We start from the raw sequence: 24,843 nt of genomic DNA on the forward strand, positions 1-24,843 counted from the left end.
ATGGCCATGTGAACCTGTGGTCCCAGCTACTCAGGAGGCTTAGGTGGGAGGACTGCTTAAGCCTAGAGGTAGAGGCTGCAGTGAGCCATGATTATACCACTGCACTCCAGCCTGGGCAACATAAGACCCCTGTCTCTGAAAGAAAAAAGTTTTCAGAGACTTAATAAAAGCAAGATGCTAAAAACAAACAAAAAAAAATCACCTTGCCAAATTAGATATAAGGGAACAATAAAAAACAAAAGTGGGGGTACCTTTAAAAATCCAGAAGGATTCCAATTCAGATAGCTAAGCAACTATTCCACTTAAAGGGACAGACCATGAAAATTATGTATAATTAACTAAGGATGTGGTTTATACTAGGATCATGAGGAAAGTTAAGTTAATGGACCCGATATACGCAAGGAAAAGCCCTGACCTTTCATCAAAAAGTTGGCAAATAAGCTGGGTGCGGTGGCTCAAGCCTGTAATCCCAACACTTTGGGAGAGGCCAAGCGGGCGGATCATTTGAGCTCAGGAGTTTGAGACCAGACTGAGCAACACAGTGAAACCCCATCTCTACCAAAAATACAAAAAATTAGCTGGGCATGGTGGTGTGCACCTGTGGTCCCAGCTACTGGCTGAGGCAGGAGGATCATCTAACCCTGGGAGGTAGAGGCTGCAGTGAGCTGAGATCATGCCACTGTACTCCAGCCTAGGCAACACAGTGAGACCCCATCTCAAGTGAAAAAAAAAGAAAAAAAAGAAAAAGTTGGCAAATAGATGTACATTTTGTTTCAGATCTCACTTTCTTAAAATTTAGAAATAACTTCTATATAGTACAATGCACAGATCTTAAGTATAAAGTGCAGTAAGTTTTTACATGTGTATATCTGTGTAACTACTATCTAGATCAAGCTATAGAATATTTCCAGAGCCTCAGAAGGCAGCCTTGTGCCCACTCCCAGTCAACAGCATACCACTCCCCACCACCAAAGGTAACTGTTAGAATCTCTATCACCATAAATTAGTTTTACCTATTTTTGAATGTCATATAAATGAAACCATTCATTCTACTTATATACTCTTTTGTGACTGGCTGCTTTCACTCAAATTCTATCTGCTAGATTCTCCACACTGGCGCACATAGCAGATCATTGCTTTTTGGATACATACTAGTCCACTAATGAATAAAGTATAGTGCATTTGTGTATTCCACTGGTTGAGGAACATTTGGCTGTTTCTGGTTTGAGCTATTAAGAATAAAGTTGGGCCAGGCACAGTGGCTCACGCCTGTAATCCCAGCACTTTGGGAGGCTGAGGCAGGTGGATCACCTGAGATCGGGAGATCGAGACCAGCCTGACCAACAGGGAGAAACCCTGTCTCTACTAAAAATTCAAAATTAGCCGGGCGTGGTGGCGTATGCCTGTAATCCCAGCTACTCAGAAGGCTGAGGCAGGAAAATCACTTGAACCGGTGAGCTGAGATGGCGCCACTGCACTCTAGCCTGGGCAACAAGAGTGAAACTCAATCTCAAAAAAAAAAAAAAAAAAAAAAAGGAGAATAAAGTTGGCCAGGTGAGGTGGCTCATGCCTGTAATCCCAGCACTTTGGGAGGCCAAGGCAGAAGGATTTCTTGAGCCCAGGAGTTTGAGACCAGCCTGGGCAACATGGTGAAACGCCATCCCTAAAAAAAAAAAAATACAAAAGTTAGCCAGGCATGCTGGTGCACACCTGTAGTCCCAGCTCGGGAGGCTTAAGTGGGAGGATCGCTTGAGCCGGGAGGCTGAGGCTGCAATAAGCCATGATCATGCCACTGCATTCCAGCCTAGGTGACAGAGTGAGACCCCCGTCTCAAAAAAACAAAACATTTTGGGCTGGATAATTGTTTTTAATTAAAAAAAAGAAAAAAAAAGAATAAAACTATTATCCTTTATTGGTTTTTGGTGGCCTCATAAGCACTTATTTCTGTCGGGTATATTCCTAGGATGAAATGGCTGGGTATGGAGTTATATGCACATTGAGCTTAGTAGATGATACCAAACAGTTTTCCATAGCGGTTGTACAAATTTATGTTCCCACTATCACCAGTGTAATAGGAGTTCCAGTTTCTCCAAATCCTTGTCACCTCTTGATACTGTCAGTCCAATTAATGTTAACCATTTAGAGGAAGAGACAGTGGTATCTCAGCATGGTTTTAATGTACATTTTCCTGATAAGAAACAATTAAAAAAATTATTTCATTTACTTACTACTGGCCACTTGGATATAGCAACTTTTGTGAAACGCCTCTTCAAGTCTTTTGACAATACCATGTTTTGAATATTTTAAATACATTTATTATGTTAATTACAGAAAACAATTACACAATCTCCTTACCTTCACAAAAATCAATTTTTACTTTTCTCTGGCTTTTCCATCTTTACCTACACTCAAAAACCATTTATTAAGTATGTATTATATGCTGGGAACTGAGAATACAAAAGATAATACTACGGTCTGCCTCCAAGATGCTCTAAGTAGGAAGAGAGAAACGACTACAAGTGATCAGAATTCATTTAGGGCTGCTCTGCCTATGGAGCAGCCATTCTTTATTCCTTTACTTTTCTAATAAACTTGCTTTCACTTAAAAAAAAGTTAATTTAGGCTGGGCACGGTGGCTCACGCCTGTAATCCCAGCACTTTGGGAGGCCGAGGTGGGTGGGTCACGTGAGGTCAGGAGTTCAAGACCAGCCTGGCCAACATGGTGAAACCCCGTCTTTACTAAAAAAACAAAAATTGGCCGGACGCGGTGGCACACGCCTGTAATCCTAGCTACTCGGGCAGCTGAGGCAGGAGAATCGCTTGAACCCGGGAGGTGGAGGTTGCAGTGAGCCAAGATCATGCCATGCCAGTGCACTCTAGCCTGGGCAACAGAGGGAGACCCTGTCTCAAAAAAAAAAAAAAAATTTTAGGCTGTGGCTACAGCGTTTGCATAGTAATCACAGAGTATAGTCAGTTTTTGTTCTATGTTTAGACTATACATGTTTTTGGATTCTGCTTGTGCTTTCTGGCTGTGAAGGTAGAAGACTAGGAAGACAGTGAATAATAACAATGAAAAACTCATACATGATATTTAATATGTGCCAGGCACTATTCTAAGCACTTGATATGTACAGATACATCTTGACTTACGATGGGGTTATGTCCTGATAACGCTGTCGTAAATTGAAAATATCCTAAGTCAAAAATGCATGACTAGGCTGAGCAAGGTGGCTTATGCCTATAATCCCAGGACTTTGGGAGGCTGAAGTGGGCAGGTTACTTGAGGTCAGGAGTTTGACACCAGTCTGGCCAACATGGTGAAACCCCGTCTCTACTAAAAATACAAAAAATAGCCGGACGTGGTGGCTCACACCTGTAATCCCAGCTACTCGGGAGGCTGAGGCAAGAGAATCACTTGAACCTGGGAGGCAGAGGTTGCAGTAAGCCATGATTGTGCCATTGCACTCCAGCCTGGGCGACAGAGTGAGACCCCGTCTCAAAATCAAAAACAACACAATGTGATTCCAATTTCCTCTCCAAATTAAAATCCACCTCTCACCATGAGCAGCAGCTTGTTGAATCAAATGTCTCAATGATTCACATCACTCTCTGACCTGCACATAGGGCAGTCCAACTAACATGGCATCTGGGTGCTCTTTTTATCCCATGGCGCACCCACTGCTTACCAGGGCAGGTTCAGATTAACAGTACCCTCTGTCTTGCTGGGCTGCTGCTGGGACATATCCTGGGCCCAGTGGTCTAACCTCCAAGAGTTATAAACAGACACCTCTTGCCATAATGCCTATTTGCTACACATTTCATCAGATTTTCCCAGAGGAAAGAACAGTCACTGCACCCAGGGGCCAGGCAGGAAGAACAGCTAACTCTAGCTCACCTGCAAGGCTCAGCACTGGGTTCATTTGAAGTAGTGTCCTTGGCTCTCAGTCACTGAAACCTGCAGCCTCAACAGCAGCTCAGAGAAGAAAGTCACACATCCTCAGTGCTGTTTGGGGTGAGCCTGATGCATATACAGATGCCCTCTCTCACTCCCTGGATTCTTCTGCCTGATGGAGACAGGCACATTCCCAAGCTGTCATTGATCACCATCCCCCCAGTACTGCTCTGTACTTTCCCTGGGGTGACCCAGTGGTGGTGAGCCAGTGGTGTGCAAAAAGTATTTCTGCAGCTCAGGTGGCTGTTAGATCTGAATAGGGAAATTAAGTGCAGCAGTCCTTTGGGTTTGGCTGTACAAGTCTTTCATCCCAGGAACAATAAAAGGTAAGCAATTAAATGGAAACTGAATGTCTAGCAAAACTACTAGAAGCAGTCTATATCCATACTTTATTTTCTGCAGGCAATCCCAGGCTCTGGAAGAAGGGGGCACTGCTCTGCTGCTCTGGACAGAAAAGCTTCAGTGGGTTGAAGACAATGGTGAGGCTTGTGTCCCTGGGTCCATGATCTCTGGTTTTCTGGCCAAGTCCCAGAATCTATGGATTCTCTTATACAACCTTTTATTAGTCTTTGGAGGCTGAGAGACTTCACCCAGCCTTGGAAAAATTTTCTCAAGTCAATCAGGTTTTAAGAAAAAAACAAAATTAAAAAAAAAACTTTAAGATCACATGACAAAGATACTCATTTGGGAAAATAAGTACACAGCACTAAGAATGTGACAGTACAAGGCCAGGTTTGGTGGCTCACACCTGTAATCCCGACACTTTGGGAAGCCAAGGCGAGGGGATCACGAGCTCAGGAGTTTGAGACCAGCCTGGGCAACATGGCGAAACCCCAGCTCTACTAAAAATACAAAAAATTAGTGGTGCACGCCTATAGTCCCAACTACTCAGAGGGCTGAGGTAGGAGAATCACTTGAGCCCATGAAGTCGAGACTGCAATTAGCAGTGATTGCACCACTGCACTCCAGCCTGAGCAACGGAAGCGAGACCCTGTCTCAAGGAAGAAAAAAAAGAATGGGATAATACAGAAGGGTCTTTCCTCCTCTTTTTTTTTTTTGAGATGGAGTCTCACTCTTTCGCCAGGCTAGAGTGCAGTGGCGCGATCTCAGCTCACTGCAATCTCCGTCTCCCGGGTTCAAGTGATTCTCCTGCCTCAGCCTCCCGAGTGGCGGGGACTACAGGTGCAGGCCACCACACCTAGCTAATTTTTGCATTTTTAGTAGAGACGAGGTTTCACCATGTTGGCCAGGATGGTCTCGATCGCCTGACCTCGTGATCTGCCCGCCTCGGCCTCCCAAAGTGCTGGGATTACAGCCGTGAGCCACCACGCCCGGCCAGGTCTTTCCTCTTAAAAGAAAAACAGGGTGACTACAAAAGAGGAAACCATAGTACCATCAGAGAGTAAAACCAAAGGAGGGCAACATAATGAGACCCCATCTCTACAAAAGACGAAAAACAGCCAAGTGTGGTGGCGCACACCTGTGGTTGTGGCTTCTTAGGAGGCTGAGATGGGAGGGTCGCTTGAGCCTAGGAGGTTGAGGCTGAGGTGAGCTGTGATTGTGCCACTACATTCCAGCCTGGCTGACAGAGTGAGACCATGTCTCAAAAAACTTATTTTAAAGAAGAAAAAAGAAAGGTCAATTAACTTAAAGGAAAAAAAAACCCAAGAGCTGAGTTCTTAGAGCACTCCAAATTCATCACTTATGGGACACAGCTATAAGTATTTTATCTTGTACAACACAATTTAGCAGTTTAAACACCAATACAAACATACTGAGCCAGAGTGAAACCAGGTGACAGTAACACAGGTGCAGGCGGGCACCAGAGTCCCTATGGCTTGGATTTGAATTTGAACCCCAGTTTCCCTAATTATTAGTTATGTGGACCAGACAAATCTCTAAGTCCCTACCCCTCTTTGTTAAATGGAAACATAACTGGACCACTTCCTAATGTTATACCTGAAGCATCAACACAGCACCCAGCAAGAAACTCTCAGTGATGTTCATCTTTCTTTTTTTTTTTTTTTTTTTTTTTTGGTCTTGCTATGTTGCCCAGGCTGATCCTGAACTCCTGGCCTCAAGTGATTCTCTCACCTCAGCCTCCCAGTGTTGGAATTACAGGTATGAGCACTGCACCTGGCCAAAGTTCATCTTTCTTACTGATAATCAGGGAAGAGCTTGAGATCATTAGCAACTGAACTGAACAGGGAGTTCCCTCCTGACTTCTCATCCTCCCTTCAGCATAGCACTGAAAACATCTATAAATGTTTTAGACAATGAATCTGAAGAACAGAATTCTTTCCAGAGAAAAGAATAAGATGGGCTCTTTTCACAGCTGTCAGCATTTTAGAGTTAAAAGGGTCATCAGATGTCATCTCATATCAAACTCCTCCTTTACGACGTCATTGTCAGCCATAGCCTTCAGGCTTCTATGAGGCCTTGAGAAAGACAGACAGGAACAAGGGCAGCTACAGCTCTCACAACTGTCCTTGGCAAGTGCAGCTGGCCACAAGAATCAACAAGAAGTCTGAAGCAAGCTCCATGTGAACACAAGAAAATGACTAGAGAGCAAAGAAGCAAGTCTCTGAGGTTAGCCTGCCACAGGTTGTCCAAGATACTGTTCTAATGGACTTTGCCTCGCAACACACAAAAAAGGCTCTTGCACTTAACCAGGTACTAAAACGAAACCACTACTATTGAGAAAGAAAACTGAAGTATCATATCTTTCAATTATTTCAGTGTCTTAGAAGTATCTAAACATTATTTTGAGATAGAGTACCAGTGATATGAATAAATCTGGTGAATCAGTAGGTCAGGGCCAGCCAGGACTATTTTATTATATTAGCTAACCAGGCCAGGACTAGAGTTCTCCACTCACAGTTATAAGGAGCCCAAGCTCCCATTGTGTAAAAAGCATACAGAGGCCAAGGGCTCCATAGTGGTTAGGGTTAGAAAACCTACTGTCCTAAGACACTGGCCCACCATATCCAAGGCAACCCAAAAACATACCAGCAGGCTAAGATGCAGAACCCTGTGAAGAGGATGATGGGGATGGGATAGGATGCACAGAGGAGCCCATGGTTGTAGAAGGCCCGAGATATCTTCTCACGCAGCCTTTCAGTCAGGGTCATCCTCAGCCGAAGTCACCTTGCTGCCATCCCGGAAAGTGACCATGGATCACCCTGGCACACACTTGACAGCACTGACAAAGAACAACATGTGCAGGTACCTGGTAAGAAGGGAGAAAAGCCAGTTAACAAAGAGTACTTGGCTCTGCACACTAGGGCTGCTGGAGGGAGGCGATAGTTATGTGGCTGGGGAATGGTTTCAGAATGCCTATATGCAAGGTCTAGTGACCTCAATCCCAAAATACACACACACACACACACACACACACACACACACACACACACACTCTCTCTCTCTCTCTCTCTCTCTCTCTCTCTCTCCCTCCCCGCCCAACTCCCTCCCTCCTATATTAGGCAATGCTAAAAGGCCACTCCCCAAAGGGCATTTTTCTCATGTGTGGCACACGAAACCATGCCTGTGTAACAGACGTCACCTTCAGCTGCTCTCTGTCAAACAGGCATTCTTCCCCCCCCTCCTCTATGCACAAATCCCACTGAGAAAAGTCCTTTACATAGGGATACAGAGAAACCCTTTACATAGGGATGGCCTCCTCAAAACACACTGTTGTACAAATAGTGATTCACTCGTGAAGAAGGTCTAGCGAGGTCAGCCCTCAACATAAAAACGCTAAAAAGCTTAGGTCTCTGACATAATGGTCACCAAGCAAAATTCACTCTGGTAGAACTCTCTGCTCTTGGTCCTATAGTTGTTCCTGGGAGTGCAAAGGCAGAGAGCAGCTCCTGTTCCTGCCTGCCCAGTACCCGTCCCCTTCCATAAGTTAACAGCAGCCTGGTATGGCTCAGGGGAACCACCTCGCTCCACAGGATTTAACCTGGATTAACTATGAGTCAAGGTGCCCCGTGCCGACCCAAGCTACACAAATTGGGCCTCTCTCCCTGGACTTTGACTTCTAAACACAAACAAACAGGAACTTGGATATTCATGATGTTTATTCATCCCACAGAGGTTCCTGCTCCCAAGATCCCCAGGCTGTTCTGGCTCCCATCCTTTCTGAGGACTGGCTCATCAACTTTTTTTTCCGTTTTGTAAGCTATTCTATACCCTTCTAATAAATTATCTTTTTGCTTATGTTGGCCAAAGTTAATTTCTGGTGCTTTCAAACAAATAACATTAAACCAATAAAATCAGAATAGAAAACTCTAGGAGGCCCAGGGATCTAGAATTATCTTCCCTACTGAGCCCTCTGATGGAATCCAAGTTTAAACCTACTTCTCTTGTTCCATGTTGCTGTTTTCTTCGGTCTGTGCTAGAGGGAACCTGCCCAGACACATTTCTTGGCTTGACTGTACTCACTGATGAAAACCCAGACTCAAAGATGACTCCTCATAAGTGTCAAGATCAGAAACAAGAAGCAAAAGGAGTCACACCACAGCCAACTCAAAAGCCAAAAGGAATGCCTATTGCTCGTTCTACCTTTCCGAAAGCAGAAGCGTTAAGCGCACATGCAAGTTTCCAATCCAGGAACCCTTTATTTTTTTTGACATAGAATCTCACTCTATCGACCAGGCTGGAGTGCAGTGGGCACTCTCTTGGCTCACTGCAACCTCTGCCTCCCAGGTTCAAGTGATTCTCCCACCTAGTTTTCCAAGTAGCTGGGATTACAGGTGTGCACCACCATGCCCTGCTAATTTTTGTATTTTTTTGTAGAGACAGGTTCTCATTATGTTTTCCAGGCTGGTCTCAAACTCCTGGGCTCAAATGATCCAGCTGCCTCAGCCTCTCAAAGTGCTGGGATTACAGGCACGAACCACCACACCCGGCCAGTACTTCATTACTTTTTTTTTTTTGAGATGGGGTTGCCCAGGCTGGAGTGCAGTGGCACAATCTTGGCTCAATGAAATCTCTGTCTCCTGGGTTTAAGCTATTCTCCTGACTCAGCCTCCCAAGTAGCTGGGATTACAGGTGCCCGCCACCACACCTGGCTAATTTTTGTATTTTTGATAGAGACCAAGTTTCACCATGTTGGCCAGGCTGGTCTCAAACTCCTGACCTCAAGTGATCCGCCAGCCTCAGCCTCCCAAAGTGCTGGGATTACAGGCATGAGGCACCGAGCCCAGCCACTTCATTACTTTTTATGGCTGAATATTTCATCAAATGGGTATGCCACATTTTGTTTGTCCATTCATCAGTTGATAAACATTTGGGCAGTTTCTATGTTTTGCCTATTGTGAATAGTGCTGTGATGAACATTCTAACATTCCTGTATTTGTTTGAATACCTGTTTTCAATTCTTTTTTTTTTTTTTTTTTTTGAGATAAAGTTTTGCTCTTGTTGCCCAGGCTGGAGTGCTGTGGCACAATCTCCACTCAATGCAACCTCTGCCTCCCAGATTCAAGCGATTCTCTTGCCTCAGCTTCCTGAGTAGCTGGGATTACAAGTGCCCGCCACTACGCCCAGCTATTTTTTCGTATTTTTAGTAGAAATGGGATTTCATCATGTTGGCCAGGCTGCTCTCGAACTCCTAACCAGGTGATCCACCGCCTCGGCCTCCCAAAGTGCTGGGATTACAGGCATGAGCCACCACGCCAGGCCACATTATTCTTGTTTACTTGGTCTCGAACTCCAACTTTTTTTTTTGAAACGGAATCTTGCTTTGTCGCCCAGGCTGGAGTGCAGCAGCGCGATCTCAGCTCACTGTAAACTCCGCCTTCCGGTGGTTCAAACAATTCGTGCCTCAGCCTCCCTTGTAGCTGGGAGCACAGGTGCACACCACCACACTTGGCTAATTTTTGTATTTTTAGTAGAGATGGGGTTTCACCATGTTGGCCAGACTGGTCTAGAACTCCTGACCTTAGATGATTTGCCAGCCTGGCCTCCCAAAGTGCTGGGATTACAGGTGTGAGCCACCACACCCTGTCTCAATTTTTTTTTTTTTTTTTTTTGAGACAGAGTCTTGCTCTGTCACCAGGCTGGAGTGCGGTGGTGCGATCTCAGCTCACTGCAACCTCCACCTCCTGGGTTCAAGCAATTAACCTGTCTCAGCCTCCTGAGTAGCTGGAATTACAGATGCGCGCCACCACGCCCAGCTAATTTTTGCATTCTTAGAAGAGATGGGGTTTCACCATCTTGGCCAGGATGGTCTCAATCTCTTGACCTCGTGATCTGACCGCCTCAGCCTCCCAAAGTGCTGAGATTACAGGCATGGCCACTGCACCTGGCCAACCTTTTTTTTTTTTTTTGAGATGGAGTCTCGCTCTGTCGCCCAGGCTGGAGTGCAGTGGCACAGTCTCAGCTTACTGCAACCTCCACCTCCTGGGTTCAAGTGATTCTCCTGCCTCAGCCTACCAAGTAGCTGGGACTACAGGCACTCACCACCACACCCGGCTAATTTTTTATTTTTAGTAGAGACGAAGTTTCACTATGTTGGCCAGGCTTGTCTTGAACTACTGACCTCATGATCTGCCCTCCTTCGCCTCCCAAAGGGCTGGGATTACAGGCGTGAGCCACCGTGCCTGGCCCCCCTCAATTCTTATGTTTACTTTTTTTGTTGTTGTTGTTCTTCAGTTGGGGTTTTTGTATTTTTTTTCTTTTTGTTTTCTTTTGAGTATATTCATTCTTAGGAGTGGAATTGCTTGGTCATAAGGTAATTTTCCCCAATGTCTTCTCCTAAAAATTTGTAGTTTCACATTTGTTTAAGTCTGTAATCCAGCTGGGTGCAGTGACTCATGCCTGTAATCCCAACACTTTGGGAGGCTGAGGTGGGAAATCACTTGAAACCAGGAGTTTGAGACCAGCCTGGACACTGTGAGACCGTGTCTTTACAAAAAAAAAAACATTAACAATTAGCAGGGCAGGGTGGCACATGCCTGTAGTCCTAGCTACTTGGGAGGCTGAAGTGGGAGGATCACTTGAGCCAAAGAGTTTGAGGCTGCAATGAGCTATGACCACACCATTGCACTCTAGCCTGGGCAACAGAGCGAGACTGTGTCAAAAAATAAAAATAAAAATCTGTGATCCATTTGAGTTAATTTTTAGATAAGGTGTGAGATATAAATTCCTTTTTTTCCCCTTTGGTCTAAAGATAGCCAATTGTTCCAGCACCATTTGGTGAAAAGACTATCCTTCCTCCATTGAATTGCTTGGCATCTTTGTCAAAAAGCAGTTGTCTGGACCAGGCACAGTGGCTCACGCCTATAGTCCCAGCACTTTGGGAGACCGAGGTGGGCGGATCGCTTGAGGCCAGGAGTGTGAGACCTGGCTAACACAGTGAAGCCCCTTCTCTACTAAAAACAGAAAAAATTAGCTGGGTGTGGTGGCACACACTTGTAATCCCAGCTACTTGGTACGCTGAGAATCACCTGAACCCAGAAAGCAGAGGTTGAGCAAGCCAAGATCACGCCACTGCACTCCAGCCTAGGTGACAGACTGTGACTCCGTCTCAAAAAAGGAGAAAAAGGCCAGGCGCGGTGGCTCACGCCTGTAATCCTAGAACTTGGTGAGGCAAAGGTGGGCGGATTACAAGGTCAGAAGTTCAAGACCAGCCTAGCCAATATGGTGAAACCTCTTCTCTACTAAAAATACCAAAATTGGCTGGGTGTGGTGGCGAGTGCCTGTAATACCAGCTACTTGGGAGGCGGAGACAGGAGAATTGCTTAAACCCGGGAGGCGGAGGCCACAGTGAGCCAAAGACTGTGCCATTGCACTCCAGCCTGGGCAATACAGCGAGACTCTGACTCAAAAAAAAAAAGAAAAGAAAAGAAAAAAGAAAAAAAGGCCAGGTGTGGTGGTTCATGCCTGTAATCCCAGCACTTTGGGAGGCCAGGGCAGGCAGATCTCCTGAGGTCAGGAGTTCAAGACCAGCCTGGCCAACACAGTGAAACCCCGTCTCTATGAAAAATACAAAATAGCCGGGCATGGTGGCGTGTGCCTGTAATCCCAGCTATTCTGGAGGCTGAGGCAGGAGAATCGCTTGAACCCAGGAGGCAGAGGTTGCAGTAAGCTGAGATAGTGCCACTGCACTCCAGCCTGGGCAAGAGGGAGACTCCGTCTCAAAAAAAAAAAAAAAAAAAAAAAAAAAAAAACTTGATAGAATTTTGATAGAAACTGCATTAAACCTGTTTATCAAATTTGCAAAGAACTGGCATGTTGAGTCTTCCAATCCATGAACATGGTATATTTTTCCATCTACTTAGATCTTTGATTTCTTTCATCAGCATTGTATAGTTTTCAGCATACATGACTGTACATGTTTTGTTAGATTTATACCTACCATTTCACTTTTTAGCAACTATGTTTTCAATTTTGATTTTCACATGTTCATTGCTAGTACATTGATTTTTTTATGTTAATCTTTTATCCTGCAACTGTCCTGAAATCACTTATTAGTGCCAGAGTCTTTCTGCATGTGTGTGTGTGTGTGGATTCTTTGGAAATTTCTACGTAGACTTATCATGTTATCTGTGAACAGAAACATATTTATTCCTTTCCATAATTTCTTCAAATTTTTTTCTGCACCACTCTTTCTCCTCTCTTTTTGAGACTTCAAAAACATAAAAGATAAACTTTCTGTTATTGTCCCATGGGTCCCTGAAGCTCTGTTCATTTTTTTTTTTCATTTTATTTCGATCTCTGTTGGTCAGACTGGATAATTTCTATTATTCTACCTTCATGTTCACTGACTCTTCTGTCTTCTCCATTCTGCTATTGAGCCCACCCAATTAATTTTTCATTTAGGTTGTCATATTTTGCAGTAAATAAATTTCTGATTTTCTGTTCATTTCAAGAGCATTCACCCTTACTTGTTATAGCAAGGTTTTAATTAATACTTTAATTATACTTTGGCTTTTAATTTTTTGATAATTTCAACATCTGTGTCATGTTGTGGTTGCCATCTGTTGGCTGTCTTTTCCCCTTATGATTTTCCTGATTTTTCATAGCTGAAGTAATTCTGAATTACTGGACATTTTGAATATTATGCTATGTGACTCTAGCTCTTGTTTAAGTCCCACGTAAAATTTTGAATTTGTCTTTGCAGCAATCAACCTAATTAGGTCCAGTCCACAAGTTCCTACCCACCTTCTGTGGGCTGTGGTACCAATATGATATCAGTTTTCAAAGCCTTTTAAGTATTATTTTGATTTTTCCCAAGCATACCGTCCAGGGGCCAGTGCAGAACTACTTGAGCAGTAATGTACTCCACAGTTTGGTCCTCAAAGCCTTTGGTATGCTGTTTAGGGTCAGATGCACGTATGTTAGTTCTGAGGAACAGCCCAAGAGTTCATATGCAACTTTATGAGTTCAATTTGTTGAGCTCCTTCCTCTACACAATCTTCCTAACACTTTCCAGATCCCAAGGGCCCCTTTCCTGGTCTTCTGGCTAAAAGTCAGGGGTTTAATTTCCCTAACCTGCTGAGTACCTCCCACAACTGTGACTACCTCCAAGGAAAAGCAATGAGAGAAAGGAAAGAACAAAATCAAGGATTCCCTCCATGCTCCTGGGACCACAGTCCCTTTAAATAGAAGACTTCCTCTCCTATCCATTTGCCAATGTCACTGCTGTCTCCACCACTACACAATTACGTGGAGGGCCAGAGCAAGAGAAAAGGAGAAAAGACAAAGCAAACAACACACGAGATTTCTTCCTCCATCCCCATTCCTGACCCATGAGGATCCCCTTTCCTGCTCCTCAAACTAGAAAGATGGCTTCTGTTAGACCTCTTTCTGTGCACATCCAGCACACATTTCCAGGTTTGGGGCTGACTTTAAGTGCAGGCTGGAAAATATTGTATGGAGGAAAAAAAATTATGGGAAACTCACTACCAGTTCACTGGTATTTGGAGTTCTGGTTTCCTTCTCCAATTCGCATGCTAACATTTATCTTTCTGGGGTTACTCCACTGATCCATGCATTCTGTCCAGGGATTTCAGTTGCTCTCTTCAGACATAAAGGGTGGAGTATGTTTACTCCATCTTTATCACATCAGAACTCTTAAATTTTTTTAATGTGATAATCTTCCTACATTTCAGGATTCTTTGCCTTCAAAGAAACTTTTTTTTCTTTTTTTGAGATGGAGTCTTGCTCTGTCACCCAGGCTGGAGTGCAGTGGCGTGATCTCGGCTCACCGCAACCTCCGCCTCCTGGGCTCAAGCAATTCTTGTGCCTCAGCCTCCCAAGTAGCTGGAGTTACAGGCGTGCGCCACCCCACCCAGCTAATTTTTATATTTTTGGTAGAAACGGGGTTTCACCATGTTGGCCAGGCTGGTCTCCAATTCCTGACCTCAATGAATCTGCCTGCCTCAGCCTCCCAAAGTGCTGGGATTACAGGTGTGAGCCACTGCTCCTGGCCCTAAGGAAACTTTTCACACTACGCCTACTGGCATTTTTCTGTCAATCACATCATTTCATTGTGAGAAGCATGTAGTAAAGTTTTCTACAAAAAGCACACATTACTTTTACAATTTGAAAAAATAAAAATTATATACAAAAAGTGCACAAAAGGAGAATAGAGGGAAACGTTAGTAGTGGTTGCTTGTCTTTGTGTAATGTGATTATATGCAGGGTTTTTTTTTTTTTTTCCTTGAGACAGAGTCTCACTCTGTCACCCAGGCTGGAATGCAGTGGCAGGATCACAGCTCACTGCAGCCTCAATCTCCCAGGCTCAGGTGATCCTCCCACTTTAGCCTGCCTATAGGCACGTACCACCATGAGAGATAATTTTTGGTAATTTTAGTAGAGACAGGGTTTTGCCACGTTGCCCAGGCTGGTCTCAAACTCCTGGGCTCAAGCAATCCTCCTGCCTCAATTTCCCAAACTGATTATAGGTGTGAGCCACCACACCCAGCAGAGAAATTTTTAAACTCAAATCTCAGTATCTTTACATTTTTCACTATAAGCATTTATTTATTTTTCTTTTTTTAGAGATGGGGTCTCACTCTGTCACCCAGGCTGGGGTACAGTGGCACTATCATGTCTTACTGTAGCCTTGAATTCCTGGACGCAGTCCTCCCAGCTCAGCTTCCCGTGTAGCTAGGATTACAGGCATGTGCCACCATGGCCAGCTAATTAAAAAAAAAAAATGTTGTGGGGAGACAGGGTCTCAATATGTTGCCCAGGTTGGTCTTGAACTCCTGGTTTCAAGCAATCCTCCTGCCTCAGCCTCCCAAAGTGTTGGGATTACAGACATGAGCCACCGTGCAAGACTATTTTAAATAAACTTTTGAAGTTTAGTATAACATATCACAGAAAAGCACACAAATTATAAGCACACAGCTCCATGAATTACCACCAAGTAAACAAAGCCATGTAACCTAAACACCATTCCATCAAGAAACAGAACATTACCCCAAAGGTCCCCTTTATGAGCCCCAATGCTGACTATTTTTCAATTATAAAAGTAAAAATATACATGTTTATATTCAAATATTCAAACAGTCCTGGAATGCCTTTTTTTTTTTTTTTTTTTTTGAGACAGGGTCTCACTCTGTCACCCAGGCTGGAGTGCAGTGGCACGATCATGGCTCACTGCAGCCTCCACCTCCCAGGCTCAATCAATTCTCCCACTTCAGCCTCCCAAGTAGCTAGGACTATAGGCGTGCACCACCACACCCAACGAAATGTTTGTATTTTTAATAGAGATGGGGTTTTACCATGTTGCCCAGGCTGGTCTTAAACTCTTAGACTCCAGCAATCCTCCTGCCTCAGCCTCCCAAAGAGTTGGGATTACAGGCTGAGCCACCCACCATGCCTGGCCCTCATAGACCCCTTCCTACCTATCCCTTTACAATTCACTTTATCTCAGAGGTCAGAGTGGACACAGATTCTACTAATGCTGTGAGCTGGATACCCTTCTGCACTTAGAACAAAGCCCAAATGCCTCCCCCTAGCTCTCAGGGCTCTGCACAACCCACCCCGGTCCTCTGCAACTTCACTTCGTGTCACCTCTCCCTGTTCTGGTTTCTTCCAATGCCTTATGTGTGCCAACCTCATTCCCATCTCAGGGGCCTGGCACATACTGTTCCATCCTCTATTCCCTCTTCTCTTTATAGGCTGGTTCCTTTTCATTCTTCAAGTCTCAGCTGAAATATCACTTCTACAAAAAGACCTCCCTTGACCATATATTTTCCAGTAGTTCTCTTTATTGTTCCTTACAGAGCCTATTTCTTCTTTTTCAGTGCATTTAAAACTCTGTAATTGTACAAATGACTTATTCCCTGGTTTACTATCTGTCCTCTGTCAAGACTATAAATAAACTCCCTGTCTGTTCTTCAGGGTCTTTAATAGCACTTGGCATGTTAAATTTTTATTAAATGCACCTATAATCCCGGCTACTCAGGAGACTGAGGTGGGACAATCCCTTGAGCCCAGGAGTTTGATGCCAGCCTGGGCAACACAGTGAGACCCTGTCTCTGAAAACAAACCACTTGTTGAATAAGTGATGAACAAACCAACCAACCCAACCAGGATCAGATATTATTAGGACAGTGCTCAGTACATATCTTCTCAACTTCTAACTGTGATACAAAGCACCTCAGGCATTCTGGAAGAAAGAGAGCTAATAATCCCCTCTCTCTGAATGAAATCATAAACAAGGAACACTTCATCCATCCTGTTCTTCACAAATGTCCCAATCTAAATCCTTGTTAGAAATGCAAATTATTGGGCCTATCCCAGACCTGGTGAATCAGAAAATCTGGCGGTGAGGCCCAGAAATCTCTATTTAACACACCCTCCAGCTGACAGTGATATGCTCAAATTTGAGAAACACTGCCCTACCAAACCTGGAGCCCAAGAGTTGCCTAAGTCAACTCTATGGTGCCCACATCTTGAACATATGTCTAAACTGGACGAGCAGGGCAGGCATCGTAGCTAACTAATGTCTGTAATCCCAGCAGTTTGGGACACTGAGGCAGGAAGACTGCTTGAGGCCAGGAAAGTTCAAGACCAGCCTGGGCAACATACAGAGATCCTGTCTCTACAAAAAAAAAAAAAATTTAAATTAGCCAATTGTGGTGGCTCATGACTGTAGTCCTGGCTACTTGGAAGCCTGAGTGGGAAGGACTGCTTGAGCCCAGGAGGTCAAGGCTACAGTAAGCTGTGATTCCGCCACTGCACTCTAGCCTGGGCAGAAGAGCAAGGCCTATCTCAAAAAATAAAAAATGAACTGGACTAGTGATAGATATCCAAAACCACCAGCCTGAAAAATTCTAATAGTCTCCTACCTGATTTTGCTACCTGCATTTGCACTTCACTTCTGGTTTGTCTTCCCACATGGTCAGCATGGACAGCTTCCTAAAATAAAGACCTGCTTATGGCCAGGCACAGTGGCTCACACCTGTAATCCCGGCACTTTGGGAGGCTGAGATGGGAGGATTGCTTGAGCCCAGAAGTTCGAGACCAGTCTGGGCAACATAGTGAGACCCCATCTCTTTAAAAAAAATTTTTAATGGAAAAAAAAAAGACCTGCTTATGTCACCCCTTGCACAAAAGTTCTGAATGGCTCTCCAGTGCCTGCATATCTGAGGCCATACTTCTTTGCTTATTATACAGGTACACTCAAAATATACTGAAACCTCTTTCCAGCTTTATTCTCTTGTCAAATAAAAATAACTAGTATTTATAAACCATGTGTCAGCCTCTGGCCTAAGACTTTTGCCTACATTATCTCCTGAATCCTTGTAACAACCCTTAAACTAATAACTACTTTTACTATTTCAGTTCCACAAAGGAAGAATCTGAAGTCCAGAGGTGTAATACGCCCCCATGTTACCCATCTAGAAGGCCCTCATGAATATCACAGTAATGTTGGGATGCTGGCATTCTTCCCCAAAATAACCTACATTCCCACTTTCCACACCTTTGCAGTCAAGGCTCTCTCTTTACTGAATGCCCTTTTCCTATCTTCCCACTCTAATTTCCCACCTCTAATTTTCTCCATTCAGCCTTCAGGCACTAGATAAAATGCTATTTCCTCCATAAGCCTTCTCTAAACATCATCCTATTCATTTTGTACCAGAAACATGTAAGTACTAATGTTAAAACAATGTTATGTTCAACATATTAACAGAGATCATCTCTGCCAATGCTGAAGACATCTGATAAAATTCAACCCTCATCCTTTTAAGATAAGAATAGACAGGCCGGGTGCGGTGGCTCATGCCTGTAATCCCAGCACTTTGGGTGGCCGAGGCGGGCGGATCACAAGGTCAGGAGATTGAGACCATCCTGGCTAACACAGTGAAACCCTGTCTCTACTAAAAATACAAAAAATTAGCCGGGCGAGGTGGCGGGCACCTGTAGTCCCAGCTACTCGGGAGGCTGAGGCAGGAGAATGGTGTGAACCCCGGGGGACGGAGCCTGCAGTGAGCAGAGATCACGCCACTGCACTCCCATCTGGGCGAAAGAGTGAGACTCCGTCACAAAAAAAAAAGAATAGACAGATGCTTAGTAGATATGTGTACGTTGATTTACATACATACATAAATACATACATATTAGGCCAGGCACGGTGGCTCACACCTGTAATCCTAGCACTTTGGGAGACCAAGGCTGGTGGATCGTTTGAGGTCAGGAGTTCGAGACCAGCCTGGCCAACAAGGTGAAACCCCCGTCTCCACTAAAAAATACAAAAATTAGTCAGGCATGGTGGCGGGCACCTGTAATCCCAACTATTTGGGTGGCTGAGGCAGGAGAATCGCTTGAACGCAGGAGAATCGCTTGAACCCAGGAGGCAGAAGTTACAGTGAGCCAAGATTGTGCCACTGCACTCCAGCCCAGATGACAGAGACTCTGTCTCAAAAAATAATAATAAAAAAAATACACATATATATATAAAAAATAAATACAGACTTCAACTAAATGTTTACATCTTTCTCAATCTCAAAGCTAAAATCAAGCCCAATGGGAACACACTAGAAGTGTTCTCACTAACGTCAGGGGCCATACAGGCTATGCATTTAACCATCATTATTTATTACTATTGTGGAACTACTAGTTATCACAATCAGTCAAGACAAAGAAAACATAGGTATACAACTGGAAAGGAAAAAGTTAAATTATCATTATTTGCAAATGATATTATGTACAAAATCCAAATATATATACAAAAAAATTACATATATATATATATATATATATATATATATATAATCAACTGAAAACCTTTTACAGTTGATAAAAGAATCACCATAAGGTAGTGAAAACTAATATATATCAATGCCTTCACATACATCAACAACAAGCAGGCAGAAGTAAAATAATGATAATATTGATTATAATAATGATTCATTAACACTAAAATAAATAACAAAACCAAAAACTTGAAAATAAACTTAAAAAGAAATGTAAGAAATCTCTGAAACTCCCAGCAGGACACAGTGGCTCACGCCTGTAATCTCAGCAACTTGGGAGGCCGAGATGGGCAGATCACCTGAAGTCAGGAGTTAAAGACCAGCCTAGCCAACATGGTGAAACCCCGTCTCTACTAAAAATACAAAAATTAGCTGGGCATTGTGGCACGTTCCTGTAATCCTAGCTACTCAGGAAACTGAGGCAGGAGAATCACTTGAACCTGGGAGGTGGAGGTTGCAGTGAGCCGGGATTGCACCACTGCACTCCAGCCTGGGTGACAGAGCAAGACTCCACCTCAAAAAAAAAAAAAAAAAAAAAAGAAACCAAAAGAAATCTCTGAAACTCCGAAAGACAGAAAAGATGACTTCAACAAAAAGAAAAACATGCCACATTCTTAATGAGGAAAAGTCAATATAACGTAACCAAAGTGTCACTCTTCCTACATTCATCTAGAAATGTAACAGTCCCAATAAAAACAGGACTTCTTTAACTAAACAAACTTCAAGTTTATACAGAAAAACAAATATAACCAAGAAAGTTCTGGAAAATAAAGATGATGAAAGGGAACTAACTTCACCAAATAACAAAACATGCTAGAGTAATTAAAACAGTGTGGTCCTAACACATAAATACACAGATTAATGTAACAGAACAGAATGTCCAGGAATAGACCAAAATGTACACATATGGCAAAGTATACTATATACAGTAAATGATAAACAAGTAGGAGAAAGATTAATTGCGCAACAAAAGGTGTTGCAACAAATGGGTAGCCACGGAAAAAAATTAAGCTGGATCTAACACTTCACATCAAAATAAATTCCAAAAAGCACAGTGGCTCAGGCCTACAATCCCAGCACTTTGGGAAGTCAAGGCAGACAGATCACTTGAACCCAGGAGTTCAAGACCAGCCTGGGCAACATGGCAAAACCCTTCTCTACCAAAAGTACAAAAATTAGCTGGGCATGGTGATGCACACCTGTAGTCCCAGCTATTCAGGAGGCTGAAGCGGGTGGATTACCTGAGCCTGGCAAGGTCCAGGCTGTAGTGAGCCATGATCACACTACTGTGCTCCAGTATGGGCAACAGAATAAGACCCTGCCTCAACATAAAAATAAAAAATAAAAATAAATTCCAAATAGAGAAAAGATTTAAAGGTAAAATATGAAATATAAAAATTACTTTAGGCCAGGTGCAGTGGCTCATGCCTGTAATCCCAGCACTTTGGGAGGCCGAGACAGGTGGATCACCTGAGGTCAGGAGTTTGAGACCAGTCTGACCAATATGGCAAAACCCTGTCTCTACTAAAAATACAAAAATTAGCCAGTGTGGTGGTACACGCCTGTAGTCTCAGCTACTCAGGAGGCTGAGACAGGAGAATCACTTGAACCTGGGAGGCGGAGGTTGCAGTGAGCCGAGATCATCCGAGATCGTGTGAGATCGTGCCACTGTACTCTAGTCTGGGCAACAAAGCGAGACTCCGTCTCAAAAAAAAAAGATAAATAAGATCTGGAAAAATACAACTGCAATTCATATCGCTGACAAGGTGCTAAATTCCCGCGTATATAAGCAATTTTGACAAAATCAATTTAAAAATACCAAAGCCCAGCTAGGCACAATGGCTCACACCTACAATCCCAGCACTTTGGGAGGCTGAGGCGGGTGGATCACCTGAGGTCAGGAGTTCAGACCAGCCTGGCCAACATGGTGAAACCCTGTCTCTACTAAAAATACAAAAATTAATGATAAACTATCATAAAGAAACATTCAGAGAAAAAAGCAAGGGAGCAGTGTCCTACTTTCATGTAAGAGAACAGAAGTCTCTGCTTATTTGTCTATAAATGCACAAAACACCTGGGAATGGACACATGAGAAGTGGCAGCACCAGCAGCCTCTGGGGAGAGGATCTGGTAGCCAGGTGCAAGATGGAAGGGAAACTTTCCCATGTAGTTTACCTTTCCAATTTTGTGTCATGTAAATGTATTTCTACATTGAAAAGCTGAAATTAAAAAATAATGAGCAAAGTTTCCTGTGGAAGCAGCAGCCCTCTTCTCTGAGCTTCTCTAACTGTGAACTTCCACCTTGCTCATTCTGACTCTCTCAGCCTCCTGGATTGACTGCGTTCCCCTTCAGGAGAAGGGAATAACTGAATCACCTTGTGTTCCCTAGAGCACCCAGCACCTCACCTGGTGCTGAGCAGAAAGTCACTATAGGTCTGCTCACTGAGCTAAACTAGTCCACTGGTGCAAACAATTCATCCCTTTGGGATAATGTTTTTCTGAAAGTTGTCAAGCGGACCAATGCTAAGGGCAGAAAATTACTTCTCTGGGCCGGGCACGGTGGCTCACGTCTATAATCCCAGCACTTTGGGAGGCCGAGGTGGGTGGGTCACGAGGTCAGGAGATCGAGACCATCCTGGCTAACATAGTGAAACCCCGTCTCTACTAAAAATACAAAAAATTAGCTGGGCCTGGTGGCGGGTGCCTGTAGTCCCAGCTACTCAGGAGGCTGAGGCAGGAGAATGGCATGAACCCGGGAGGCGGAGCTTGCAGTGAGCTGAGATGGCGCCACTGCACTCCAGCCTGGGCAATGGAGCGAGACTCCGTCTCAAAATAAATAAATAAAAAGAAAATTGCTTCTCTAAGCTTCAAAATTAGCCAGTAACCTGGGAGAATTTTCAGCAGATCAAGTTAATAGTATTGAAAAAAGGTCGGGCACGGTGGCTCACGCCTGTAATCCCAGAACTTTGGGAGGCTGAGGTGGGCAGATCACCTGAGGTCTGGAGTTCAAGACCAGCCTGGGCAACATGGTGAAACCCCGTCTCTACTAAAAATACAAAAATTAGCAGGGCGTGGCCAGGCGCAGTGGCTCATGCCTGTAATCCCAGCACTTTGGGAGGCCAAGGCGGGTGGATCACGAGGTCAGGAGTTCAAGACCAGCTGGCCAACACAGTGAAACCCCGTCTCTACTCAAAAACAAAAATTAGCTGGGTGTGGTGGCATGCGTCTGTAATTCCAGCTACTCAGGAGGCTGAGGCAGGAGAATCGCTTGAACCCTGGAGGCAGAGGTTGCAGTGAGCTGAGATTGCACCACTGCACTCCAGCCTGGGCAACAGGGGCAAAACTCTGTCTCAAAAAAATAATAATAATTAAATAGTATTGAAAAAATAAAGGAATTTCAGTTAATGAACGAAAGCTGATTTCAGAGAATTTAAAGCCTAAAAACACACATATTCAAGAAGATGAGTACTGGCACATTTTAGAGTAACTGTTGGGATGGCACAGCAACACCCAAATTGAAGTAAGACCAAATTATATTAGTTGGTTGTAATGGTTGTCACAAATAACCACGTGCATAATGTCAACCCTCTTTACAATAGAACACCAACAAACCTATTAAAGATTTTCTTCCACAATGCCAGTTACCTACATTCTTACTCCCTCTTGACCTGGTCAGGAATGACTAACAAAGGGACTGAACTGCTGCTGCTAAGAATCAGTTTTATTTTTATTTATTTCTTTATTTGAGACAGAGTTTTGCTCTTGTTGCCCAGGCTGACGTGCAACGGCGTGATCTCGGCTCACTGCAACCTCAGCCTCCTGGGTTCAAGCGATTCTCTTGCCTCAGCCTCGCAAGTAGCTGGGATTACAGGTATGTGCCACCATGCCTGGCTAATTTTTTATTTTCAGTAGAGATGGGGTTTCACCATGTTGGTCAGGCTGGTTTCAAACTCCTGACCTCAGGTGATCTGCCCGCCTTGGCCTCCCAAAGTACTGGGATTACAGGTGTGAGCCACCGTACCCAGCCAAGAATCTGTTTTAAAGCTAGAAACAACTTGAGAGCCCATGGGGGCAGCCTTGTCATTTCACACAATGTCTTGGCCCATGGACAGAGTGTCCTCAGCCTCCACTCCAGCAGGTACTTGTAGGAGCACAGCCAGGACCAGCCTCCTGCCACCAGCTACACATGAGCATATCAGGCCACACAGGCTAAACACCCTTTGCCTGATTTCCTGCAAGAAGCGTGCTTTGCTGGAGGGCATCAAAGCTCTTGACAGTTTTATACAATCAAATCCCAAAATGGGAGATGTGACGAGTCTCGTTGCGTTACTACTTCAATATTAGGGGAACCCACCCCCAATATTTCAACATAGGTTCTTTCTATTTTCCGTAAGTGTCGGCCGGCTGAGAAATAAAGAGAAACAGTACAAAGAGAGGAATTTTACAGCTGGGCCTCCAGGGGTGACATCACATATGAGTAGGACCGTGATACCCACCCGAGCTGCAAAACCAGCAAGTTTTATTAAGGATTTCAAAAGGGGAGGGGGTGCAAGAACAGGGAGTAGGTCACAAGATCACATGCTTCAAAGGGCAAAAAGGAGAACAAAGATCACATGCTTCTGAGGAAACAGGACAAAGGCAAATTCAGAACTACTGATAAGGGTCTATGTTCAGCTGTGCACGTATTGTCTTGATAAACATCTTAAACAACAGAAAATAGGGTTCAAGAGCAGAGAACCGGTCTGACCTCAAATTTACCAGGGCGGAGTTTCCCAATCCTAGTAAGCCTGAGGGTACTGCAGGAGACCAGGGCGTATTTCAGTCCTTATCTCAACCGCATAAGACAGACACTCCCAGAGCGGCCATTTATAGACCTCCCACCAGGAATGCATTCCTTTCCCAGGGTCTTAATTATTAATATTCCTTGCTAGGAAAAGAATTTAGCGATATCTTCCCTACTTGCATGTCCATTTATAGGCTCTCTGCAAGAAGAAAAATATGGCTCTATTCTGCCAGACCCCACAGGCAGTCAGACCTTATGGTTGTCTTCCCTTGTTCCCTAAAATAGCTGTTATTCTGTTTTCAAGATGCACTGATTTCATATTGTTCAAACACACGTTTTACAATCAATTTGTACAGCTAACACAATAGTGGTCCTGAGGTGACGTACATCCTCAGCTTACGAAGATAACAGGATTAAGAGATTAAAGTAAGACAAGCATAAGAAATTATAAAGTATTAATTTTGGGAACTGATAAATGTCCATATTAAAAGGAAATATTAACGATTTATGTTCAGAGATTGAAGTAAAGACAGGTGTAAGAAATTATAAAAGTATTAATTTTGGGAACTGATATATGTCCATATTAAAATGAAATCTTCACCATTTATGTTCCTCTGCCGCGGCTCCAGCCAGTCCCTCCGTTCGGGGTCCCTGACTTCCCACAACACTTCAAGAACTGTTTTTTGGTTTTTTGTTGTTGTTGTCTTTTTGAGACAGAGTCTCACTCTGTCCCCCAGGCTGAAGTGCAGTGGCACAATCTCGGCTCACTGCAACCTCTGCCCCCGCCCCCAGGTTCAAGCGATTCTCCTGCCTCAGCCTCCCAAGTAGCTGGGATTACAGGTGCCTGCCACTGTGCCCAGCTAATTTTCTTATTTTTAGTAGATATGGGGTTT

General features: G+C 44.0%; 1 protein-coding gene across 14 annotated transcripts in view; it reads right to left on the reverse strand.

Annotated features, from left to right (window-relative positions):
- Positions 1-24,843, reverse strand: part of SCAP (SREBF chaperone) — a 63,447-nt gene that overhangs the window by 22,230 nt on the left and 16,374 nt on the right. For 8 of the 14 annotated variants that reach the window (XM_011533501.2, NM_001320044.2, XM_005264967.3 and 5 more), the window contains one exon: positions 6,962-7,181. In XM_011533501.2, the coding sequence (XP_011531803.1) occupies positions 6,962-7,083 (122 nt within the window). In that variant the 5' untranslated portion in view covers positions 7,084-7,181. Of the gene's footprint in view, positions 1-6,961; positions 7,265-7,514; positions 7,799-8,311; positions 8,507-13,195; positions 13,264-24,843 lie in introns of those variants that run through there. The other 6 variants (XM_047447738.1, XM_047447734.1, XM_047447739.1 and 3 more) reach the window with 5 other exon arrangements.

The sequence above is a fragment of the Homo sapiens genome, chromosome 3, assembly GCF_000001405.40.
Source record: "Homo sapiens chromosome 3, GRCh38.p14 Primary Assembly".
Classification (NCBI taxonomy): domain Eukaryota; kingdom Metazoa; phylum Chordata; class Mammalia; order Primates; family Hominidae; genus Homo; species Homo sapiens.